The following is a 27,382-nucleotide window of genomic DNA, read 5'->3' on the forward strand; positions in this document are numbered from 1 at the left end:
GTACCTATAATGTGCCTGGCCCTTGGTAGGAGGTGAGGATAAGGTAGTGGGCAAAATAAAATTTATATTCTCATGAGGCTTACTTCCAGTAGAAGGAACCAGGAAAGAACTAACTGTATAGTTTATCAGGTCGTGAGAAGTACTATGGAGAGAGACAAATGAGGGAAAAGAAGGCAGGAGGGGAGATAGTGGGGATGGGGCTGCTCTTTTGCACAAGAATTTCAGAAAAGATATCATTGATAAGGAGATATTTGAGCCAAGAAATGAAGGAAATGAAAACAAGCCAACAGGTTTCCCTTGCAGAGCAGTCCAGATATAACAAGTAGCAAATGAAAACTTTCAAAGTGGGCATAAGTATGGCGTGATGGAGAAACAGCAAGGATATCAGTTAGCTGGATTCAGGTGAACAAGGGAGAGAATATGAGACTGGGTGGGCTGTGGCGAGGTCTTCGGCTTTTACTCTGAGTGAGATGAGAGTCAATGGAAGAAAAGAGGGCCATATTGTAAGTTTGGTTTTATTACCATTATTCTGGATGCTGGTTAAAAGGTAGACTGTTGGGGAAGAGTGGAAGCAGGAAGTTGGGAGGCCAGTGGTGATTCGGTGATTCAGGCAGACATCATGGTGGCTGGTGTCAGAGTCCTGGCAGTGAAGTTGGTGAGAAGGGGCCAGATATATGATATATTTCAACAGTCGAGTCAACAGAATTCGCTTGTCGATTTGGGTGTGAGGTGTGAGAGAAAGAAAAGTCAAGGATGACGTAGTGTTTATGGCCTGAACCACAAGCAGGACGGAGTTACCATTTACCGAATGGCAAAATCAGTGGAGGTGCGCTATTTTCAGGGGAAAAATAAGGAGCTCAGTATTGGCTTTCCCAATGTGTCCCTTTTTCAATTTATATTGGCAACTATACCTCTTATTTTTGCTAAGTGGGTCGCTGATGTGCAGATGTTATTTGAACAGAAAATTGTCAACATTTTTCTTCCTTAACAAAACAATGGTTGTCAGTACACTGTGCTAGTGCATTAATTAGCTTTGCTGCATAACAAACGACCCTCGAATTTCAGTGGCTTACAATAACAAACATTCATTTTCACGAAACCAAAAATACAGGATGGTTATGACTCAGCTCAACTCTGCCCCAGTGCTTCCCCCTCTGCCGACTTCTGCCTGTACATATCAGCTTACATTCCGTTGGCCAAAGCACATGGCTGAGTCCAACCATGATAAGGGAGGAACTACACACCCCCCTCAAATGGCATGACATTTCCTTCATTCAAGCCTGGTTGTCATCTCAATCAGTTAAAAACAAATAAGTAGATCCAGAATGACCATGCAACAGCCTCCAAAGAAGATGAGAGGCCTCAGCCCCCCAAATCCAGTGAGAACTAGTTCTTCCCATGTCTCCCAGCACTCAAGCATCTCTATACTGGAGCAGCTTCTACTTGGCAGTAAGCCTATCTCTTTGGTAATTTATTTCTCCCATGATGACCTTGAGCCCACTCATAGCTGGCCTGTGTCTTTATTCACTATTACATCATCAGTGCCTACTGCAGTCCTACACACAGTAGTTCTAGTTTCGTGTGATTGGTTCAGATGCATTGTACCTAGCTTGTAGAATTCATTTAGAGGCTGGTTTCTTTTAAAAGGAATAAATAGAGGAATGGAGAAAAGACAAGAAAGTGGAGAGTTAGCAAATTCAGTTGCCTTAGCAAATTCAGAAGCCAGGCAGATAACACACATAGTGCCTCCACAGGGTTTGAGACAAATGGGGGTGGTGGCCCATTTAGCCAAGCCAGAGTACATACCCCCACATGGTAGAATTAAAGATATTTTAGGCCTGGGCACGGTGGCTCATGCTTGTAATCCCAGCACTTTGGGAAGCTGAGGATAGTGGATCACGTGAGGCCAGGAGTTCGAGACCAGCCTGGCCAACAAGGTGAAACCCTGTCTCTACTAAAAATAAAAAAATTAGCCAGGTATGGTGGCACATGCTTATAATTCCAGCTACTTGGGAGGCTGAGGCAGGAGGATCACTGGAACTCGGGAGGCAGAGGTTACAGTGGTCAAAGATCATGCCACTGCACTGCAGCCTGGGTAACAGAGTGAGACCCCATCTCAAAAAAGAAAAAACAAGTTAGAAGCCAAATAAAACAAAACTACCTGTGCTAGTCAAATAAAACTGTTTGAAGGGCAGATTCTCCCTGAAACCTGTCAGTTTGAGAATCTAGTAATAGAGTTGGGAAGATTTGGGCTTATCAAAGGAAAACTTTTGTTTTTGTTTTGTTTTGCTTCCTCCTCTCAACCTCCATAACTATTGGGTACTAGGCTTAGTGCCTGGGTGAAGAAATAATCTGTACATCAAACCTCAGTGACACGAGTTAAGCTATATAACAAACCTGCAAATGTAACCCTGAACCTAAAATAAAAGTTAAAAAAAAAAAGAGAACCTATTTGTAGGGTGGCAAATATCTTTCCCTCACCCTCCATCATTAGGTAGTTCTTTGGTAAAAAAAAAAAAAAAAAAAAAAAGAATCTTTTTATCTGAAACTGGGACAAGAACTAGCTAGAGGGAATACCTTTATTTCTTTTGCCAAAGATAACTCTGGAGATTTTGTTTTTAGTTCTCTTCCATCTTCCTGAACCTTGCATACTGTTTGGGTGGTGGAGGGGTGTTAGGGGGTGGAGGAGAAGGAGAAGAAGGAGGAATGCTTAGGTGAAGCCCTGAGAGTTTCTGCCTCTCATGCCTGAGGTGTGGAGGTAGAGCTCTCTGGAATATTTCCAAGCCAAGTTGCGGAAGCCCACACTTCTCCCGCCTGGAGGGTTGTTCTTTGACTTCATCGAGGGCATCCAAGGCCAGGGTTATGAAATCTGATGCTCAGCAGAGGATTCCTGAATCTTCTCCCACCACAATGTTTAGGAACTGGGGTCAACTAGGACATAGGTCAACATTAGTGGTGCCCAGGAAATTCGACCTGCAGATATATTTTGTTTGGCTTACACAGCAATTATAAAGTTATATGTATTAAAAAAATTAATTCTCTATGGGCCAGTATTTACAAACCATGAGATTTTACATGAAAATCAATATTTCTGCCTTCCTCTGAAATGTGGAAGCTCTGTCAATATGGGGCCGCATCTGGTTGAGTAACATCTGCCCACTTCATTAAGAGCATGCCGGCTAGCTCACACCCGTCCCTACCCAGCTCACTCCACTCAATTATTTCACCTGGATGGCCCTGTTAGACAATTGGGAGTAGACTCTTGACCTATATATTTATGTATAATACCTGTGGCTATAAATACATTGCTGTAAATGCCTCAGATATCATCTTTAATTTAAAGAGCAGCCTGCCCTTTAGGTAATCAACTTCGGCTTTTTAAAACCAGAATTGTTAATTATCCTGGCAGTATTGTCTTTGCCCTCAACCTGATAAAGTCACTGGTGAAAGGATGCGATTATTTGGTAGGTGAATCTAAAGGATATCATTTCTCTTTTTTCCTTCTTCTGCTATTTTCTCTTTACTCACATCTTCCTTGCCAACCAATCCGACATGCAAGAAACCCTTCAGGTGCTTAAAGGAGTTGGAAAATATTCCCGGAAATGCTGAAAGTTTGCCACATTGTCAGAGGATAAAAGCACAGTGTTCAATCCAAAGGCTTTGTGTAGGTTTTTTTTTTTTTTTCAATGCAAGTTCCAGGTTAAATTTGAGGATGCTTGTGTTCTCTACATTTTAATGAGAAGCTTTAGCTAAGAATTTTTTTTTAAACAAAGGCACAAAAGTTTAAATCCTTTGCGCAATAGCAGTGAGATTGAAGTGACATACTGTTTTAACTTTTTGAAAAACAGCAATGCTCAAATAATCAGCAGGAGAGGGAATATTAGACAAGTAAATATGGAATATTATGCTCACAAGCAATAACTGTGTCTATTAAATATGCAAACCATGCAGCCTCATATGGATTTTTTTCATTACATCATTTTATAGGTATATGTGTGTATAAGACTGGGTATATAGTAAACTTTTATGAGTTAAATCATTTTTTCCATTAGCTTTTGTTGTAATTACCAAGATGCTTACTGTAATTTCTGATTGATCTTCAATTGGCACTACCCCATAACACTTTATCTTGAAAATTCTCTGCCTGTAGGCCTCTTAGTTAGGTAGTGAACGATTTATCTATACACCTTCAACATAATCAAGAGGTCAATATGTAAAGGGACCCATTTGTAAATGAAATAAAGCAAATAATATGGTGGTTATTTTTGTATTTAGATAGATTAGCAACATTGATTCTAATGAGAGGGACCTTCCTTTCTTTATAGCAATTGTACCATGCAGTGTTAGTTATGTGCTGATTTCTCAGTTTATTTCATGACTACCTTCCCACTAGAATGTAATTTCTCTGAGGACAGGAATCATGCCTTTGTTTTCTGTCTTTAAAAAAATTGTTTTAAAGTGCGGCAAAATATCCAGAACATAAAATGTACCACTTTAATACTTTTTGAGTGTATGCTTCAGTGGCATTAAGTATATTCACGTTTTTATGCTGTTATCATCACTATATCTTCAGACTTTTCATCTTCCCAAATGAAAACTCCATAATCACTAAACAGTAATTTTGCCTTCCCCTCCCCCCCCACTGGCTGACAACCATCATTCAATTCTCTGTCTCTCCAAATTTGACTATGCTAGATGTCTTGTATAGGTGGAATCATACACTATTTGTCTTTCAGTGTCTGGCTTATTTCACTTAGCATAATCTCCTCAAGATTCATCCATGCTGTAGCATGTGTCAAAAACCTGCCTTTATTTTTATTTTTTTAATATTTATTTATTTATTTTTGAAATAGAATCTCATGCTGTCGCCCAGGCCAGAGTGCAATGGCACAATCTTGGCTCACTGCAACCTCTGCCTCCCAGAGTTAAGCGATTCTTTTGCCTTAGCCACCCGAATAGCTGGGATTACAGGCATGCACCACCATGCCCAGCTAATTTTTGTATTTTTAGTACAGACGAGGTTTCAACATGTTGGCCAGGCTGGTCTCGAACTTCTGACCTCAGATGATCCACCCGCCTCGGCCTCCCAAAGTGCTGGGATTGCAGGCATGAACCACTGTGCCTGGCCACATGACTTTATTTTTTATAACCATGTGCCTGGTGTCTAGCTTAGCACTTGGATGTAGTAGGAATTAGGAGACCACAATATATCTTTGTTGAAGGAATACATGAAAGAATGACTCAGTCAGCCACATTGTATTCCCCTTCGTAGCCTTGGGATCAGGATGCAGTAGGTCCTCTGTAATTCTTTGGGGAAGAAAAGAATTATTTGGCTTCCTGATTTCTGAAGCAGAGCCCAGGGGGCAGTTGAGATACTTTTGGAACATGAAAAACTCGCCATTTCCCCTTGCCCGTGATGTTTGAATCCAGTGTATGAAAAGGAAATCTGTGGCATCTTTTCTCGAGCTTGTAATTTGGGTTGCTTTGTGTTCACTGCTAATTAACCAGTTGGTGATGTGCTGTTTGTCTTTTCGTCTGCCTCTGAGCTTGTAAGGAGTCAGTGACAAGCCCAGTGAAACTGAGGGGCACTCAGATAATTAAGGTTTGGAGGGCTTCTTACCAACCCATTGATGAACCAATTGCTTCCTCTGCCTCAATTGATGGGTAGCTGACACATGACGTTAACAGTGGCTTTCTCTCATATACACAGCAGCAGGAGACTTTCCCACCTTTTAATGGCTGAGCAAACTTCATCCCAGGCAACCCTGGCAAAATGAAAGTGTATTGTCAAAGTTACTTGTGAAGATGACTGTGTTTAGACTAGAAGAAAAGTCTTGATACATCAGAATTGCCACACACGCGTGCTCACACAGTCTTTATTATTAACATCTAAATGCAAAAAGTAATACAAAGCTTTATTTAAACATTTAAATGTATAAGGAGAAATGACTTTGTGTTCTATATTGTTCTTTTGTGTGTGTGTATGCCTGTTTTTATCCTTTAAGAAACAACAGTGATAGAGTATTGAGTAGTTTCTTTTCTTTTTTTCTTTTTTGAGACAAGGCCTTGCTAACCCTGGCTGGTTTGCATTGGCGTGATCACTACTCATTGCAGTCTCAACCTCTCAGGCTCAAGTGATCCTCTTGCCTTAGCCTCTCAAGTAGCTAGGACTACAGGTGTGCACCACCACACCCAGCTAAGTTTTTATTTTTTGTAGCAATGGGGTCTGGCTATGTTTCCCAGGCTGGTCTCAAACTCCTGGACTCAAGCAATCCACCAGTCAAGCCTCTTGGAGCGTTGGAGTTATAGGCTTGAGCCACCTTGCCCAGTTGAGAAGTTTCTCTAAATCTGATAACCTCCTCCTGTATAGAGTCTGTGTCTGTTATGCAAAAACATCAAATAATTGAATGTCATGTGTGGGCGGCTCTACACCTCCTTACCTGTGCTTATCTTCTGCTTCTTTGCCTCTTTTTAATCCAGCGTAGTTTGGAACCAGCAGCAGCAGCAGCTCCCCAGACCTACTGAATCAGAATCTACATTTTGATAAGAGCCCAGGGTGACTCCATGTACGTGAAAAAGTTTGAGAAGTCCTTAGACCTACAGTTCACAGCTTCTCCTTCTTTCTTATTCAACTGAATTGCAGTGGGACCTGAGTATGGTTAAAATAAATGAATAAAAACACAAATCAATTCTTGGGTGAGTCTCATGAACAATCAAGATTAAGAACCACTGACCTTACTCCAGTAAATGCCTTGAGAACCCTGAGGGCAGGGACGCTGTCTACTGTGTTCTTTCCTAGGAAGGTGCTTGGAATATAGTAAAAAAAAAAATTATTTATTGAATGTATTATTATACAAAACCCAAGGCTCAGATGACCTTGGGGCAGTGTCTTTTTCCATGTTCAGACCCTGAAGGAGATCAACCTGCCTGTCTGCTGACCCTGCTCCCGTAGCTGGGCAACAAGTTCTTTGAAGGTAGATCTAGGTGGCCCATCTTGGTGTCCACCACAAGTGGTTAACAGTCAAATAGAATCATGTTTTAGGAGGCAGGCTCTAGAATTTGACTGCCTACCTTTCATTTCTGGACCTGCCACTCCCTGGCTGAGTGACTTTGGCCAGTTATTTATCTTCTTCCTGGGTGATATGGTTTGGCTCTGTGTCCCCACCCAAATTTCATCTCCAATTGTAATCCCCATGTGTGGAGTGGGGGGACCTGTAATCCCCACGTGTTGAGGGAGGGAGGTGATTAGATCACGGGGAGGTTCCCCCATGCTGTTCTTGTGATAGTGAGTGAGTTCTCATGAGATCTGATGGGTTTATGAGGCAGTTTTCCCTGCTCTTGCTCACTCTCTCTCTTGCCTGCTGCCATGTAAGATGCGCCTGCTTCTCTTTCTGCCTTGATTGTAAGTTCCCTGAGGCCTCCCCAGCCCTGTGGAACTGTGAGTCAATTAAACCTCTTTCCTTTATACATTACTCAGTCTTGGGTATATCTTTACAGCAGTGTGAAAACGGACTAATACACTGGGTCAGTCTCCTTATCCATAACATACTATCAATTATACCCACCTGATAAAGTGATTTGAGACTATAGTGAGAAAAATAGATTTAAGGCACATATTGGGCACTTAATTAAGGTTAGTTGTTATCGTTCCTATTATAATGATATTTTACATAATATATAATTAAAAGTTTATAATATTAAATCATGTTATAAAAATAGATTCTTCTTTTGCTTGTGTGAAGAAACAAACTGGGATGATAAAATGTTAGAGAAAGGGCAGTTTTATCCATACTAAAGATAATAGAGATATTATTTTCCTCTTCTGTGTGTGAGAACCATCTTTGTCTCCTTACACACTAGACAGGATACATTTGTTTGTGGTCTGTGTGCATTTTTCCTTCTTGTCAGAGCAGCAAGAACTTTGATTCTTGCCTTTAAATGGGATCTTTCGGGAGATGATATGATGATAAGATTTGTAATTTGCCCCGTCTCTATCCTTGCGGGATCTTGGGTTCTGCTCCAGCTACGTCAGCTCCGTTTAACTCAATGATCTGGTGACATCTTTCAGATCTCAGAAGGGCTCAACAAATGCCACCACGGAGTTCAGTAGTGAAGACACAATGCCAAGATTAAGCAAGGTTGGGTTACATTTGTAAATGTAAAGGCTCAAAGCTTTGTTTGAACAAATCAGTGCAATAGATCTTAGGTAGAACAGAGTTCTAGCAGAACTGTGAAGTTTCTAAAAAAAAAAACAACAGAAAACCCACACCAGTGAGTGTTAAAGTCTCATAGGAATAATTCCATTGTGGCTAAGTGCGGTGGCTCACACCTGTAATCCCAACACTTTGGGAGGCTGAGGTGGATGAATCATTTGAGGTCAGGAGTTCAAGACCAGCCTGGCCAACATGGTGAAACCCTGTCTCTTCTAAAAATATAAAAATTAGCTGGGTGTGGTGGTGCATGCCTGTAATCCCAGCTACTCGGGAGGCTGAGGCAGGAGAATTGCTTGAACCTGGGAGTCGGAGGTTGCAGTGAGCTGAGATCGCACCACTGCACTCCAGCCTGGGGACAGAGCGAGATTCTGCCTCAAAAAACAAACAAACAAAAAAACTAAAACAAACAAACAACAACAAAAAACCCCAATTCCATTGTGTGGTGATGATAATCATCATCATTGGCTCTTTTTTCCCATCTCCCTTGTGATAATAAAGCTCAAACTCTGTATAAGCTAGGATTATGGTATGCTGTGCACAAACCCCCAAAACGGTGACTTAAAAACAATATAATTTTATTTTAGTCTCACAGAAATAAAGGTCCAACTGATTTGGCAGCTCTGCTCTGAAACTCTGTTAGGAATCCTGGATGCTGCTATCTCATTTCTTTCTATCCCTATGATGTTGCCTTTGCCTTCATGACCCGGGATTGCTGCCATTGTGGTTTGCATTCCAGCCAGCGGGAAGGGAGAAAGAGGTCAGAACTCTCTTCCTTTTAAGGGCAAAATATACAAGTTGTACATGATCACTTTTATTCACACATCTTTTAGTCATGCAGTCCCACCCAACTGCAAGCAAGACTGGGAAATCTGGATTTTTTGTGGCCATGTGTTCTGCTAGAAACTCAATTACTCTATACTCTCTCAGAATAGGTGTTTGATACAGAGCTCTTCCCACCTCCAGCTCCCAGGTGGGCACGTGAACCAGACTTGGCACCTCAATGCACCACATCTCCGTGGCAACTGAGATAGGTTTCCAGTTGCCCATGCAACCCAAGCTGGAACAAAGAGACTGGGTCCTGGGTTCTTGCTATGACTAGCGGTGAAGAGATTGCTCTTCCTTCTGGGGTTCCTTCACAGGATGAATGTAATCCTGGAGTTGCTCCTGGTTTTTTTGCCTCCTAATGGAAAAGTGAATGTAACACAGAGGAAAGTAGAGGAGAGACTGAGAGAAAGGGATTCCTGATGACACAGTTAGAGCACTTGGATTCTGTTGTACCTGAAACCAGGCTTCCCCAGATAAATAAGCCAATCTACTTCTTTTTCTTTTTTCTTTTTAGTTAGGCTTGCTTGGACTTATGTTCTTGCCATTTATTATAAAAAAGCACTCTGAATAATAATGTACCTGTGTTAGTTCATTTTGCATTGCAATAAAGGAATACCCAAAGCTGGGTAATTTTTAAAGAAAAGATGTTGATTTGGCTCACAATTCTGCAGACTGTACAAGACGCTTGGATCCTGCATCTGCTTCTTGTGAGGTCTCAGGAAGCTTTTACTCATGGTGAAAGGCAGATGGGAGCTGGCATGTCACATGGTGAGAGAGGGAGCAAAAGAGAGAAGAGGGAGGCCACAGGCTCTTTTTAACAACCAGATCTCATGTGAACTCATTACTATGTTATATACTTCTGTATATAATAATATCGATATATTATACATACTATATGTATAATATATTTGATATATGTATGATATATCCACCTCTGGCAGAATTTACCCACATGCCTACTTCTATGTATACTAAAACTAATATTATATAGAAGTATATAATATATAGTATTATATATAGAAGTATACTTTATTATCTATATCATATATAGAAGTATATGATATACTACTATATATACTACAACACTATTATAGAAATATAGTCTATATATGGTGTATATGATATATACTATATATAGAAGTATATATATATCATATACTTCTTATGATGCCCAGCATATCTATTCTTTTCTTTGTTTTCCTTGTTTTATGTTTGTTTTCTTTGTTTTATATCATATACTTCTACATGTAGTATATATCGTATACATCATATATAGACTATACTTCTAAGTGTATGGTCTCTATACCTGTGTCATCAGCAGCACCTGGAAACTTGTTAGAAATGTAAATTCTCAGTGATTCTCAAACTTACTTGTGTGAGATTCACCTGGAGGGCTTGTTAGACTCCAGATTGGTGGGGCCCACCCCCTGAGTTTCTGACCCATTAGGACTGGAGGGAAGCCCAAGTTGGCATTTCTAGAAAGTTCCAACCTCCCTGATTTTCTGATCCATTAGGACTGGAGGGAAGCCCAAGTTGGCATTTCTAGAAAGTTCCAGCCCCCTGGAGTTTCTGATTCATTAGAGCTGGAGGGAAGCCTGAGTTGGCATTTCTAGAAAGTTCCAGCCCCCGAGTTTCTTCTGATCCATTAGGACTGGAAGGAAGCACGAGTTGGCATTTCTAGAAAGTTCCAGGCCCCTGAGTTTCTGACCCGTTAGAGCTGGAGGGAAGCCTGAGTTGGTATTTCTAGAAAGTTCCAACCCCGGAGTTTCTGATCCATTAGGACTGGAGGGAAGCCCGAGTTGGCATTTCTAGAAAGTTCCAATCCCTGGAGTTTCTGATCCATTAGGACTGGAGGGAAGCCCGAGTTGGCATTTCTAGAAAGTTCCAATCCCCGGAGTTGCTGATCCATTAGAACTGGAGGGAAGCTCGAGTTGATCCTGATCTATTAGGACTGGAGGGAAGCCCGAGTTGGCATTTCTAGAAAGTTCCAGCTGTATTAGTTAAGGTCTGTATAAAAACAGAACCAATCAGATATATATATATATATATATATATATATATATATATATATATATATATATATATATATGAATATGAGGAGTTTTATTTTGGGAGTTGGCTCACTTGCTTACGAGGCCAAGAAGTCCTGTGATCTGCTGTCTGCAAGCTGGAGACCCAGGAAAGCCAGTGGTGTAATTCACTGTGAGTTCAAAGGCCTGAGAAACCCGGGCTTCAATGCTGTAACTCTCAGTCTGAGGCTATAGGACTGACAAGGTGTGGGATGGGGGTACTGATGTAAGTCTGGGAGTCTGAAGACCTGAGAAACAGGAGCTCCAGTCCCTGCGGGCATGAGAAGATGGATGTCAGAGCTCAAGAAGAGACAGGAAGTTCACCCTTCATTTATTTATTGTGGTCTCTCCCCAGTGGAATATAAGGTGCTGGACAGCAAGGATTTTAGTCTGTTTAATTTGCCGCTGTATCCTCAGCACTGAGGTCACTGACTGGGACATAGTAAGCACTCATTTTACATTTTTGGAACAAATTTACTTCAGGCACAGATAAAGTTTACCTGAACCAAATAAGTGAACAGAATTATTTATAGGCCCCTGGTTTATTAATCCACTTCCTGTCCTTCATGGCTGTTGTTTCATATTTGATTCATGCATGGCATAAACATTTATGACAATCTTGTTCATATCATAATTGTTGTTAGCAGCTAACATTTATTGCAGACTTAATAGTTGTCACTGTGTTAACCACTTCAATGCATTGTCTGATTTAATCCTTATATCAGTCCTACAATGTCTTTGCTATTTTATCCCCATTTTACAGATGAGAAAAATGAGGCTAAGAGAGCTTAATTCACTTGTCTAGTGAATTCACATATCACACTGCGAGGTGTTATGGGATGCCGGAATTCAAGCCCAGATCTGACACCAAAGTCGATGTGTTCTGAACATACAAACTGCTAAAGTTCCACTTCAAGTGCCTTCTTGCTATGTGGCTGGCCATGACTCTTTATAGCTGAATCCCCATTGTAACTTGCTCATAAAGTTGACTGGCATTGGTTGAGTCATATTTCCAAACATCAGGTGACACTAATAGCACTGACTGGAACAGAATTCAGCCAGCTCATTGTTTGACCATTCCACTTTCTCCTTTTCTGTCTTCTTATGTGGTTGAATAGTGTGCTATGAACTCTTTCCCTATGGATAGACATTCACAAGTTTTTGATGTTCTGCATAGTGTGCTGAATAATACTGAACACATCTTTAACAGTAACCTTAGGATAAATTAATAGGTACTTTTAATTATAACATAGGTATACTGTCTTCCAGACAAGTTTTTTTTTTTTTTTTTTTTTTTTTGCCACATAGTTTACTCTTTTTTCCCCATAGTGTGGTTGATATGATTTGGCTATGTCCCCACCCAAATCTCATCTTGAATTGTAATTCCCATAATCCCCACGTGTCATGGGAGGGACCTGGTAGGAGGTCATTGAATCATGGGGGTGGGTTTTTCCTGTGCTATTCTCATGATAGTGAATAAGACTCACGAGATCTGCTGCTTTTATGAAGGGCAGTTCCCCTGCACAGCTCTCTTGCCTGCCACCAGGTAAGACGTGCCTTTGCTCCACCTTCGCCTTCCACCATGATTGTGAGGCCTCCCCAGCTATGTGGAACCATGAGTCTATTAAACCTCTTTTTCTTTATTAATTACCCAGTCTTGGGTATTTCTTCATAGATCATGAAAATGGACTAATACAGTGGTAGACTGAAGATCTAGCAGTCTTATGGTGCATTAGTTGATAGCATGTGCCGTTTTCAAAGACATTAACATTTGTTACTGTGCTCAGACCCAACACCCACCCATCACCATTGACTCTCAGCAGATCCTGTCACCAGAGGCCATCCACCTCTGGTAGAGAACACAGGTTTGCACTTCTATGTTATCCACTCTCGAGGACTTTGTCTTTATTTGCTCTCTCATTTCCATCCTTTTACCTTGAGACCCTTTCTTCTTGTGCCAAGATTTTGCATTTATCCTGCTTCTCTGTCTTCATCAAAGACTGTCCATGTTATGAAGATTGAGAAACTGAGGTTGATCAAACAGTTATACCAATTGTACATGAAATAAGTCAATTCTTTTGATTTTTTTAAGATGACATCTCTGTAATCACTTAACTGTCTTATCTTCTATGGGTTCTGTACCACACAGGCATGATCATTTTTCTATTTTAACTTGAGTTTCCTCTTAAGATGTAGAAAAAGTAGTTTTTATCTCCTCCATGTTGGTCAAATGGCCTTCTGCTAATGATGCAATTAGTGAAACTATGCGAGACAAAGGGGGAGATCTTTCAGTTTTAGAAAGTCAATGAAGTGGCAAAATCTGCCGCATTTGCTGTATGTGCAAAATATTTCACAGAGCTCTACTGTAGTCTTTTTTGAGCAGCTACTGTAGTTGCTGAAGCTAAATTATAATAATTTGATGACTGTGTGCAAAATGAATTCGCTAAAGTACTGCCTCCTCAATGGCTATCAGATTTGGTTTAGAGTGGGGAAAGGCTCTCTCTCACCTCGGTCACACCCAGAAATCTGGAGATTTCCTTACCTAGCCTCTCTTTGCTACCTTCTCTCCAGGACATATCCCCTTTTTTTTCTTCTTCTTTCAGAATTCTGTTTCCTGGTAAACAAACTCTGCTAAATTCTTACCCACATGGAGCTACCGTTTGATCCAGCCATCCCATTACTGGGTATATACCCAAAGGAAAATAAATCGTTCTACCAAAAAGACACATGCACTTGTATGTTCGTCGTGATACTATTCACAATAGCAAAGACATGGAATCCACCTAGGTGCCCATCAGTGGTGGATTGGATAAAGAAAATGTAATACATATACACCATGGAATACTATGCAGCCTTAAAAAAGAATGAATCATGTCTTTTGCAGCAACATGGATGGAGCTGGAGTTCATAATCTTAAATGAATTAATGCAGAAAAACCATTGGTGATATCTTCATCACTGATGCATGTTTCAGATTATTTCTTCTGTACCTTCATGTAAAATTTCTATTCATGAGGTCCATGCCTTTTGCCTATACCCATCTCTACCCATCCCTGTGGTTTGCTGGAGATGGCTTGTGCTGGCTTTGGAGAGCTAGTTGAGCACTTCTTTTTTGTGTTCTGCATCCAATTACATCATGTTGGTAGCTTGAAATTGGCCATGGTGGGAGTATTTACACCATGAAAATTGGCCAGTGCTACAAATCAGAGCGAATTACTTAACATTTCCCAGCACACCACTAATCCTTTTTCTGTGGTTATCTACCTTCTTTCTGATCACCTTCCTCATTTGTTGAAGACTTTGGCTCCTGGATCACAATATTCTTTCTTCCTCCAGGTCAGACAACACTCTCAGAGATTTTGACATCTATGTTGAATTAGTGAGTGAGGGCCAGGGCTACTCACTATCCTGCCATGGGATACAGGGAATATAACGTAACAAAGGATTGTTTCACATCCTGGCATTTCTTCCTAGCATCCTGTTGGAAAGTCAGCTAGTTAAAAAAACCTTATTATAATTATTTGGACCTAGAACCCAAATTCTATTTTATATGTAGCACAAAGTATTCTTTGTGTAACTTTAATACACTCCCCATAAATTGAAGGAGAATTGTATTATATTTTGTCTGGAAATTCACCAAGGGCTTTCTCATCATTGAAAAAAATTCATGTCCCCGATGGCAATGCTACCGTGGTATTTGAGTCACCTGTTCAACACACCTTATTTTTCTGTATTGAGGCTATTGAGTTCAGGGGATTTTACATGAGTATGCACAGAGAATATTCCATTAGGTCTTCTCATATAGTTGTACCCAAGACATATTAAATACATATTAATTATTACAAATTATATATATATATTATCCTCTTTGTACTAGAATTGGAGCTTCATGGTGAGTTTTTTAAAAAAAATTATATTATTCATACAAAAATTTGTAATATTCTACCTGTATTTTAGAGGTAGAAAATTTGTATTATTTCATTTCAGGGTGACTAAAAGGGTGTTATATTATAAAAGAGGCTGTTAGATTGTATAGGGTTGAGAGACCTGTTACAATTCCCTTCAGCTGCTTTGAGTTCCCAGTTTCTGAGGATTGCTTCTCCTCCATGTAATTCCTAAGAACTGGCTCTGGACCTATTCAACATCAAGACAACCCCATTTTTGGAAGCTCAGAGGCATCTTTTATAAGCAACCTCTGATCCTTCCAGAACCCTCCTTCTCTTATGCTCATTTCACCTGGTCTTCTACTTCAGAGAAACTTCCAGAATCTAGATCCTTCCATTTTCTCCTTCCTGTCTTCTCATTGATGGGCACATAGTATGCTCTGACTCCATCCCCTGTGGATGGACATTGAGGCTGTTTCCAAGTTTTCGATGTTCTACATAGTGGGGTGAATAATATTGCATGCATCTTTAGTGGTAACCTTAGGGTAAATTCCCAGAAGAAGAATTGGATGCTTTTTTAAATTTTGATGCTATTACCACATTAGCCTCCCTGCATTTGGACAGTGCTACTTCATGAAACAAAAAGTATATATTTTACTTAGTGAAACAAGTGAGATGGTTACTGAGGCAATTGTCATTCTTCTCGGTCATAAATAGTACCTATTTTGATAGCTTTCTTTTTCCTTTTCTGTAGACCACACTCATGCATCCTTCACTGCTACCAGCCTTGTTCAAGACACTTGAATTATTGCAGTGGCATCTTAACAGTCTCCTGCTTTCAGCCTTTTTGCTCTGACACAGTCTGTTTGCAGTTCACATCCTTTCACTTCTCAAACTCTTGGATGGCTTCCATGTCCCCCGGAGCGAATGCTCAAACCTCCCACAGTCCATGTGCTTTGGCTACCAATGACCCTGCCAACGTCGTCTCCCTCCATCTCCTTCTCCCTCCTGCTTAGCCACACTTGTCTCCCCAGGGCCTTCGCACTTGCTTTCTTCCTCGTTTGCCGTACTCCCAGCTACCCACAGGGCTTCTTCTCCCACTTCCATGAGTGCTCTGCACATGTATTGAGCAGGACTTCGCAGCCACTCACTATGAAATAGTAGTCCCTCCCTCTCCCCCTGAGTTACTTTTCTCCACAGTACTTATAATCATTTGATATATTTACTGCTGCCCTGAATGAGGCCAGAGCTTGTTCTGTTTTGTTTTCCATTGTTTTCTTATTTCTTCCATCTCCAGTACCTGGCATATAATAGATCAGGACCAGATGGTAAATATTGTAGTCTTTATGGGCCATACGGTTCTGTCCACCCTACTGAGCTCTGACACTGTTGCGTGAAACAGCCACGGACAATACATAAACAAACGCGCACAGCCGAATTCCAATAAAACTTTATTTATGAACACCATAAATTTGAATTTCATATAATTTTCACATGTCAGGGGATATTGTTCTTTTGGTTTAAAAAATGTAAAAACCCTTCTTAACTTATGAGCCGTACAAAAAAGGGCTGAGAGCTTGAATTCGGTCTGAAGGTTGTGGTTGTGCTTAAAAGTTATTTGTTTCATGAATGAATGAATATGAAAAGACTATGTATATATTAATAACTTTCAGGCATGTATCATAATCTATGTTTAAGCCTGTGCATTTGGAAAGATATGGCACAGAACTAAATGTGCCTTTTCGCTATAGATGTCTTACTCATTTTGACATTTCAACCATCCCTCAATAGACAAAGGGATCACTAGGATCTGGTTTAGTAAAAGTCTGAAAACTGTAGTGTAGCCTATAGACGATAATACAAATCATCTGCTTTATTATATATGTATTTTAATAAAACAGAAAGGGGTGAAAAGACTCTGTGTATTTTCGACTGGACTGGACATCCACAGCTTTTTCCTTTGCCTTTCATAGTTTATCTTAATTGAACTTCCAGCACTGCCATCGTCTTTCTCTGCAAACTCTGTTTGGAAAAATAGACCTTAAGACCCCAGTAAGAGCACTCAAATTCCTCAGAGCAAATAACTTAAACATAACAAATCGAAGCTTACAAAAGTCGGAATTGTAAAACTAATAGGGCTGTTAAAACCAGCTTTCCTGAAAATTATGAATTGGTAGCCCTGTTTCTTATAATGGCAAATAGTGAATCTTGATCGTTCATCAGTGCACATGTCATAAATTAGGTGCTGAGAGAGGCTGCAAAATTCTTTATAGCATCACAGAAAGCTACCGTGACTGCCTTCATATCACATTGTTAGATTCCAGTGGTGCCGGCACAGATCTGGCAATGAAAGTTTTAAAATTGTAACAAGTTGTCAAATGTTTATCAACGGGATTTTATGAAGGACTAAAAAGTTACGTACGATACTGCACAGACCATTAGGGGAATAATAATAGTAATAAAGAGACTTTATTCTCATCAAGACTTATGTGGCAGCTAGCTTTTCTCCCCAAACTTGGTTATTGGAGGATGGGAGAGGCAAATAATTCAATGCTAGGAGTAGAACAGCTTGAAGCATTAGATGGAATATCTGTATTATGTGTTGAATAGAATATAATGAATATGTGGGGCTATATCTCTATAGATATGTAGATCTCTCTCTGTATTTATGGAGAAAGATATTCAGGATTGAAACGCAGCCTTAACAAATGCCTTGCCAATTGTGTTTTATGGGTTCTGCCTGCGGTGTAGGAAGAAGGATCAGGCTGAGTTGGGTTCGGTTCCTGACTCCTCTGTTTAATATTTTTGTGTCTTCTCTACACTGAAATTACTTCTTGTTTAAGAGGAGGAACAGTCATAAAGCCTACTTTATTAGGCTTGTTGTAATTTTTTTTAAATAAAACATTTAGCACAATTCTTTACACATATGGAGCCAAAACCCAAAATAAAAATCCTACCTTCTTCCCTTATCAGTTGTGTGACCTTAGGCTGGTCATATTACCTCTCCCAGCCTCAGTTTCCCCATTTACTTAGTGGTGATAATATTTTCTATTCACTAATCTTGTGGCATTGTGTGAGAATTAAATGAGATATCTTATTATCTATAGAAAGCCTAGTACACTACCAGTCACTTGGCATGTGTTCATTATAAGATCCTTTTTCTTTTATTCAGGGGTATATTCTTAAAAGAGAGACAACATAAACTATATCTTTGGAGATGCAGGATTATAATAACTATATTTTATAAGTCACCATTAATGCTTCCTCAGAAGATTCTAGAAATTTAATGACTATCACAAGTTTATGTGTCTATAACATTTTGCTGAAGGAAGCAGATATGTTTATTATCAATCTCTTCTAGACTGCAAGATCCACTAGAGTAGAGAGTTTGTGCCTTTTGTTCACCTCTGCATCCCTAGCATGTTTATTTGGCACAGATAGGTGCTCAAATTATAGTTGTTCAGTTAATAGTTTTAAACAAATATATTTCCAGCAGGGAAAAGCCATAAATAAACTCACCAATTCACATTCTGTTTGTTCCTATGCACCAAGGGTAGGTGTACCCTTCATCAGGATCCCAGCCGGAAATAGATGGCGCAGCCCACCTGGGTAATTTGAGGAGGGTATACAAAAACGGTGTGGGCAGTGTGCTGGGAGACCACCAGGGACCATGCAGTGCTCTGGGGCTGGTGACAAGAGGACGCTGGCATTCATTCCTTGACTAGAAGGAGGAAAGGGAGAGGAGCTGACTGACTGAGGGAGGTCCTGCAAGCCTGTGAGCTGACTGGGAGGAGAGGAAGTGCTCTGGCAGGGCTGGGAGCTAGGAGCTGGGAGCTGGGAGCTTTCCTTGAGGGAGGTGCTGGCTTTGCAGGTGTCCATGTGGTCAGGCTGAACCATACTTCCTGGAATCCTCTTCTCAGTGGTGTGGCTGGGGAAGGGTACAGAGAAACTCTTGTGTGGGATTTGGAGGAATGGGCGTGAAGCTGCAGCCCTTTTGTGGCTCACACATGGTCCCTATCTGCTGATTCCCCTCCTCGGCCTGCTCTGTTGCTGTTTCCTCTTCCCCTGGCGTCTCCTTTCAGCTTTCCTGACTCTTAGACTGGGTGTATGTTCATGTCAGTGATGAAGGGTCCGGTCACTGCAGGCCACCCTCATGGACATGGTCAGAGGCAACAAGAGTTGACACGGGTTTCCATCCATCCCGTGGGCTGCAGCTCCTCCTTGTAGGCACCAGCTTGTCTCTGCTTTCCCTGACTTTACATCCAGCTTCCCTCCCTGACCGTCTGCCCCATGAGCCTGGAGCATGGGACACTGCCTAATGTCACCTCCGCCCATGAGTGCTTTTGGTCAAATCCCTGCACAAAGCCATACCTATAGGTATGCGTTCACACACACTCACCCACATTAGTGGTCCTGCTTCCCTGAATGAAAGTTGTCTTGGGCTGCTATAACAAAGCGCCATGGCCTGGGTTTCTTCTGAACAACAGAAATTCATTCTTCCCAGTTCTGGGGGCTGGAAGTCTAAGAACAAAGTTCCAGCATTGCCAGATTCTGGTGAGGGCCCTCTTCCAGGTTGCAGACTACTGACCTCCTGTGTCTGCATCCTCTGGCCTCTTCTCACGAGGGCACTAATCTCATTGATGAGGGCTCCACCCTCATGACCTAATCCCCTCTCCAAGGCCCCACCCTCCTAACATTATCACATTGGGGGTAAGAATTTCAACAAATAAATTTGAGAAGACACAAACATTCAGTCCATCACAAACACTCCTTGAAACAAGGAACACAGTCAGTAGTTGGTGACACCATTACAACTGACCAAGAGTGGAGAGAATTCATACCTTGATGTTCCTCTCCTCCCTCCCTGAGATACTCTGCTAGTGTATCCCAGGCAGCAAACCCCACCAGAAGGCAGAAGTCATCCTCATGGAGCCCTGCAACAGTGAAGAAGGGTGGAGAGAGGACCTAGAAGTGCAAACCATCTCTAGGGAGATGTCCACTTTAAAGACCATTTGGTAAATTTGTTTTAGGTAAATTCAATTTATTTGCATGAATTGTGAATAAATTCACCTAAAACAAATTTACTAAATGGTCTCTAATGTGTCCATTGTTTCATGGACACGAGTGTCACGAATTCTATCAACATTTATTCACACCTACGGACCAGGCGCTGTGTGGAATGCTGAGACACACACACACACAAAGACTAATTCTAAAGTGGCAGGTAATTTATTGGGTATCACTGTGTATTTTGTTCTCCCTGATGTATTTCCCCTGCCATGCAAAGAAGGAAACCGAGACTTTGAATTTGCCTGGTTGAATTTCAACAAGTCTGTTTAAATGCCTCATTTAGCATTTTACAGCAGCTTGTGTGTTGTAGGGCCAAAGGCAAGATTTTCCAAGCTTAAAATTTGGAAAATCTAAAGTCGTTTGAAGGGTATTGTGCTGGAGGGATGGAGAGGAGCATTTTTGGGAGGTGGAGGTGGGAGCAGACAGAATAGAGGGAGGATGGAGAGCGACCTTATAGCTGGCAAAGAAAATTGGCTTTTGCATTTTTTTTTGCTGATAAAATGGGTCTGATCCCTCTTTGCTAGTGCCCCAGGAAGTGGCTGAACTTTAGAGGGGATGTCTGTGTGGGACTCCACTGACAGTATTCTGTAGCAGTGGTGTGTATGTTTTGGGGGACACAGCATTTATCAGCAGTGATGGTTATCGTCTGAAAACCAAAGATCCTTTTTCTGAATATTCTAAGCTGCATTCACCTCCTGGGGTTTATGCATGATGCTAGAGAGGGTTAGAGAGTCCCCTCCAAGACTGAGATTGAGTTTCCTACTGGTCCAGCAGAAGGGGCCCAGAGCTGATTAAACTTAATCTCAAGAAATAAAGAAATGTGGCATTTTATGGACTGGATGTTGCTGGCTAAAATTTATATATTTACCATGGTTACATTCATGGCAGCTACTTTTGCAAGGCACAGGGCTAGGTGCTTTTATTCTTTAATTTATTTGCCAATTCAATACATATTTATTGAGCGCCCATTTTGTGTTAGGCACTGTTCTTAGAATGGTGCTTAGCATTGAGGATACAAGAGTGAACAAAACAGATGAAGCCCCTTGTGGAGTTTAAATTATGGTGGGAAGCTGTAAGACACTGGAAAGAACCAAAGTGTTTTCTTAGTGTCACATACCACTTAACACAGCCCCTTCAACGTCAGATGTGTGGGTTTTTTCCTCTATACAACAGGCAATTCTTCAGTTGGGAATCCTATAATTTAGTTCAATTCTGACACTATCTACCTGGAAATAGCATCAGACCCCACGGGTTGAGGGCTCAGTTCCACAAGACTGACCCTCCCCCTTCAGATGCCAATCACAAGTAGTAAGTTGTCACCTATACTTCTGACCAATCAGCTATAAATCAGGGGTTACCATGACTCTCTTTTCAGGTTTGATTAATTTGCTAAAGCAACTCACAAACTCTGGGAAACACTTTACTTACGTACTTACATGTGGCCATTTAGTATAAAGGATATTACAACGAGTGCAGATGGGCAATGAAGAGATGCACAGGGCAAACCATGTGGGAAGGAATGCTGAGCTTCCGTGCCCTCTCTAGGTGCTCCAGGTAAAGGTTCAGCTGTCTGGCAGCAATCTGAACCCCGTCCTGTTCTTTTTTTGTTTGTTTGTTTGTTTTAATTTTACTTTAAGTTCCAGGATACATGTGCAGAATGTGTAGGTTTGTTACATAGGTATACGTGTGCCATGGTGGTTTGCTGCACTTACCAGCCTGTCATCTAGGTTTTAAGCCCTGCATGCATTAGGTATTTGTCCTAATGCTCTGCCTCCCCTTGCCCCCATCCCCCGAGAGGCCCCAGTGTGTCCCCTCCCTGTGGCCATGTGTTCTCATTGTTCAACTCCCACTTAACGAGTGAGAACAGTTTAATTTTCTGTTCCTGTGTTAGTTTGCTGAGAATGATGGCATCCAGCTTCATCCATGTCTCTGCAAAGGACATGATCTCATTCTTTTGTTTGGCTGCATAGTACTCCATGGTGTATATGTCCCACATTTTGTTTATCCAGTCAATCACTGATGGGCATTTGGGTTGGTTCCAAGTCTTTGCTTTGTAAATAGTGCTGCGATAAACATACCTGTGCATGTGTCTTCAGTGTTTGTAAGGAGGCTTCCTTACATAGGCATGACTGATTACATCATTGGCCATTGGTGATCAACTCAACCTTCAGCTCCTCTCCTCTCCTTGGAGGCTGAGAGGTGGGGCTGAAAGTGCCAACCCTGTAAGCCTGCCTTGGTCTTTCTGTTGACCAGCCCCCACCCTGAGGCTGTCTAGGGGCCACCAGCCCCCAGTCTTCTCATTAGCATACAAAAGACACTCTTTTCATTCTGGAGATTCCAAGAGTTTTAGGAGCTCTGTGTCATAAAACTGGACAAAGACTAAATACATATATATATATATACACACACACGTACATATGTATTATTATAGATCACAATATCACAGAAGCAGAGACTCAGATGAAACACAGGAAGGAGTCATGGGAAAATTGGATGGAAGAGCATTCGTCGTACTGAGGGAACAGGAAGGGCAAAGCCCTGAGGCTGGGAGGCCAGTGTGGCTGCAGAGTAGAGCAACAGAGACAAGGTGAGCCGGAGAGGGATGGGAGGAGAGGATGTGCAGATTGGGCACTAAGGGCTTTGTTTTTACTAGCATCGGATCTATTAATAAATATCACTTAGTCCCTTTTTTTTTTTGAGACAGAGTCTCACTCTGTCACCCAGGCTGGATTGCAGTGGCACAGTCTCGGCTCACTGCAACCTCCGCTTCCCGGGTTCAAGTGATTCTCCTGCCTCAGCCTCCCAAGTAGCTGGGATTACAGGTGTGCCATGATGCCCGATTAATTTTTGTATTTTTAGTAGAAATGGGGTTTTACCATGTTGCCCAGGCTGGTCTCAAACTCCTGACCTCAGTTGAACCCCCCTGCCTTGGCCTCCCAAAGTGCTGGGATTACAGGCATGAGCCACTGTGCCTGGCCGGTCCCTATTCTTGAGTAACTTTTAGTATCTTGAGGAAGAACAACCTGTGAACTGGCAGCTTCAACCAGTGTGCTTAGTGATAAGGCTCTATTCCACAAAAATAAGGAAAGGCATGGGGATTCAGTTTGGGGAGTGGTATAGGAGCTTGCCAAGAACTGGGAAGGATCTAATATTTTTACCCTACTTGCAGGCTATCAAGTTACCTGTCATGGTTCTTTAAACGCTGGCAGAAGATGTGAGACTTCTGGGTTAGAGACAAAGGACTTCATTCCACACATCACGGCTTGCAGCGGGAGCCTCCTCGTGTTTGCATTGGCCCCTTGGGGCCAAGAGGAATGGCTGAGGTAGATGCCGCACACCGTTGGTTTGTGTCATAGCAGAGGAATCCTGAAATTAAGTAACCCAATCTTTAATACAGGGCTTCAAGCGAGCCTGTCCCACCTTTGCCCTAGAGGGAGACATTATCTTTCTTTTGTTGACCAGGAAACAAATCTGCCCTCTGCTCTAGAGAGAAACACTCTCTCTATCTTCCAACCCCGCAACAAAAGCTGTCAGGGCCTCTGCTCACAGGACATAAAGAAACGTGAGAGATCCATGGAGAACTGTCTCCTGGGGGTTAAGTTAGAGAACCCTAGACTCTATTAATGGTTTTATAAGTTGACACTGTTTTGGACCAGGTTAGATAATGGAGTTGCAGTTTTCCTGACTGTTTGGATGTTCTAGAGTGAGACAAGGAAACCATTGACGATAACGAGCAAGTGAAGTGGTAGCGAGGGGATAGGAAATAGACTAAATGAGTCACTTGAGCATGTTTCAGCATTCACTTATCATCTTTTTCAATAATATTTCTGCAATGCCTACTATATGCCAGGCACCAACCTAGAGGCCTGTTCGTGATGAAAAAAGGAACAGGCTGAAGGTCTGCAGGGCAGGCTACGAAGAGGTCAGGGCTGCCTGTGGTCTGATGTTTCTCAGGCTGGGTGCATGTCAGAATCACCTGGGCAGCTTTGAATCTTTCCTATTCTCAGAAGGCCCCAGAATCATGAAATCCAAATCTCTGGGGCTGAGGCTCAGGGATTTCGTTTAAAGATACCTTCCCAGATGATTGTTACAGGCAGCACAGGCGGAGAACGCAGCCATGGGTGAGTGCATGTGTCAACTGCTTCTACAGCCCAGCCCGTTGCTACGAGGCTCGCGGTTGCTTCCCTTCTGATGGGGCTTCCGACAGCTGCTGCTCTCCTCGATTTTCTTCTCTGAGGGCCCAGTGTCCTTTGAGGTGGGGGCCTCAGGTCTGTACTCTCAGGATAAGATCTGATTCCAACACGTAATTGATAATTCTTGTTTTAAGAAAAGTGGAGTGATTTTTCTCCAGCTCCAAGGTCTAGGGCAGGACATTTTAACCTGCCTTTCTTCTGGGCACTAGTGTATTTTGGGTTTTTGGCAACTATGTCCAGGGATGTGTATTGATCACCAGTAATTTATAATTGCATAGATATCTGGATAGGAGTAAAACATGGACTTAGAAGAATGTGGCTTCAAAGTCTATTCTACCCTTACCAGCTGTGTGAACGTCTCCAGACTTCCTAACTTCCCTGGGGAGCCTGGCACCATGGCTTATGCTCATAATCCCAGCACTTTGGGAGGCTGAAACAGAAATATTGCTTGAGGTTAGGAGTTCAAGACCAGCTTGGGCAACATAGCAAGACCCTGTCTATAAAAATAAAAAATTAGCCACTGGGTGTGGTGGTGAGTGCCTGCAGTCCCAGCCACTCAGGAGGCTAAAGCAGGCCAGAGGATCACTAGAGCCAAGGAGTTCAAGGGAGATCAGCCTCTTCTTTAGCAAGAAGGAGATGATCTCACTTTTTCCACTGAGTTGTTTTGAAGATTAAGTGAAAAATGTGTCTAAGCCTTGGAACTGTGTCTTGGTACATAGTTAGGGTTAAATATATTTTAATTGTCTCATTGCCTCATTAAAACAACCCCTTAAGCAGGAACTATACATCTGCATTTTGCTGATGAGGAAACTACAGCCTAGAGAGGAGAAATAAGAACATGAAAGTAGCAAATAAGGTCCTTCCTTTCCAGGAGCTCATAATTTAGTCGAGATGATATGACCTTCTTGGAAAGAATGATTTAAAAATAAACCCAGGTAATGATTCAAAACTCCATTATAATGATAAAATTGTGAGACATTGGAACAATGTCTCCCAACTGTAATGTGCAGAAGGTTCCCTGGAGCATATCAATTATCAGTTGAAGATTCCCTTGCTCGGGCTCTGATCCTGAAGTCAGAAGACTACTATTCAACAGACAGATGGCTCCAGAAGGCTCTGCACAGTTGATGTGTCAACCACACATAAAGAAACAGTTTGAGAATTCCCAGTCAGAAGCAGCTTCTTGGAAGACGCAGGCTTTGAATTAGGCCTTAAGTAAAATCTAGGTAAAGTATGGATGGGCAGAGAGGACAAGAGAGGATATTTTGTGAGAGGGGTCAAGTCATGAGCAAAGCTGAGAAGACAGGAATGGATCATATTTGCAGAAATAACCATGTTAATATACATAGTAATTCAAGTTTATTGGCTTTGCTGGACTTTAATAAGGTAAGTATTTTCTCATTTTCATGACCTTTTTCTTGCAAAAAAACTGAATTAACAAACCTCCTCGATTCTTGAAGGTCTTCTCTCCAACAGCCCCACATCTCTCTCGCTGAGCGCCACACCTTGGTGCATTTGGATATTGATACGCAAACCTAAATTATGCAGAAAGTGAAGCTTTGAAAGGCAGGCAGGGAGAAGTGTCCTCTTGATTAATGGTGAGGCAACATGTTTCAAGTGAGGTTTCAAGTTCCAGGAACTTAAAACCTGTCTGAGATATACAATTTGGGATAGATTCCACTGCAAACTGGGAGTTAAGGTGACAAGCTGGACCATGAGTTAAAAAAAAAAAAGTTCCCTCTGCCCCCACCCCACTGAAGTGTGTTTGTTTGTTTGTTTGAGACAGAGTTTTGCTCTTGTCACCCAGACTGGAGTGCAGTGGCATGATCTTGGCTCACTGCATCCTCCACCTACCTGGTTCAAGCGATTCTCCTGCCTCAGCCTCCTGAGTAGCTGGGATTACAGGCATGCACCACCACACCCAGCTAATTTTGTATTTTTAGTAGAGATGGGGTTTTACCATGTTGGCCAGGCTGGTCTCGAACTCCTGATCTGCCACCCTTGGCCTCCCAAAGTGCTGGGATTACAGGTGCAAGCCACCGTGCCTGGCCGTTTGTTTGTTTTAGTAAGTCCACCTTTTCTGTAGAGGGGACTTTTCTCTATAATATTAAAAATTAGTGACCACAATTTTAAAAATGGAATTCCCACTTCACTTGGCAAGTTAGGAGGTTGGTATATTGCTTGGGGTACTTTTGTTGGCAAGTAACAAGTAAAACCTTATTCAGACCATCTTAAATGATAAGAAAAATGATGTTCTTCTGTAACACGAAGGCCAGAGGTTGGTTCCAGGTGTGGTGTCACAGGGATCTGCTGCCCCTTCTTCAGGTGCCCTGGACTCTGTCCTCATCCGTGTTTGTCTCTTAGCAAGATGGTGGCAGCAGTTTTCAGTATCTCAAGAAGACACAGTGTTGTCCAGGGAAGAAAAATGATGTTTTCCTGTTTTTTCCTTTGGAAGTCCTGACATCCAGGTGGACTTCCTTCATGTCTCAATGGCAAAATGGGTTACACGCCCATTCTTATACTGAACACTGACGAGCGGAGTAGATTTCTTCTAATTGGCAATGTAGAGAATAGAATAAAAGTAGGACCAACTTTCCAACTTATGTAGGAGAAGGGGGTTACATTGACAAAAGAAGGGGGTTACACTGACTGGATTTTGGGAGGCAACCAACAACATCCATTAGAATCTGACATTGCTGGTTCCAGATTCCTTCTTGGCAAATATTGGGTGTAGCTTGATGTGTGTTGCCCCTTTTAAAGGGCAGCATGGGGTCTTCAATTTGCCACATCATTCCCTATCTGTATTATTTTGTACTCTATTTGCCTCCCTATATATTTTATCTGTTTAGTTCCTATAGGCACTTGTGTTTGGGACCCCATATCTACAGACACAGGCATGCCATACTTTTGTTAAGAGGTGCTTCTAATCAATATCATCCAGCATGCTTGGGTAATCAATCAGAGTGATTGTTTAATTGCTCTTCTCCTCTGCTTGTCAGCCTTTCAACCTTTCAAAGGATTGATCTCTTCTTTCCTGTTGTGGCCAACTTCCCCTCTCATGTCTTACTTTCGGTGGTATCCTGATCCCGTGGGCCACCAGGAAAAGCCTAACAAAAGTCTCTGGTTCCA

The 27,382-nt window shown here is 41.8% G+C and overlaps 2 long non-coding RNA genes across 4 annotated transcripts in view; one reads left to right on the forward strand and one right to left on the reverse strand.

The window, feature by feature from the left end:
- Window positions 1–27,382, forward strand: part of LOC105372666 (uncharacterized) — a 483,513-nt gene that overhangs the window by 235,236 nt on the left and 220,895 nt on the right. The gene's annotated exons all lie outside the window — the stretch shown is intronic.
- LOC105372667 (uncharacterized) lies at window positions 23,363–25,781 on the reverse strand. Its single transcript, XR_936859.3, has 3 exons — window positions 25,697–25,781; window positions 24,597–24,683; window positions 23,363–23,426 (listed from the first exon to the last, which is right to left on the reverse strand). It is a non-coding gene; the product is annotated as an uncharacterized LOC105372667 (long non-coding RNA).

This window comes from Homo sapiens, chromosome 20 (assembly GCF_000001405.40).
Source record: "Homo sapiens chromosome 20, GRCh38.p14 Primary Assembly".
NCBI lineage: Eukaryota > Metazoa > Chordata > Mammalia > Primates > Hominidae > Homo > Homo sapiens.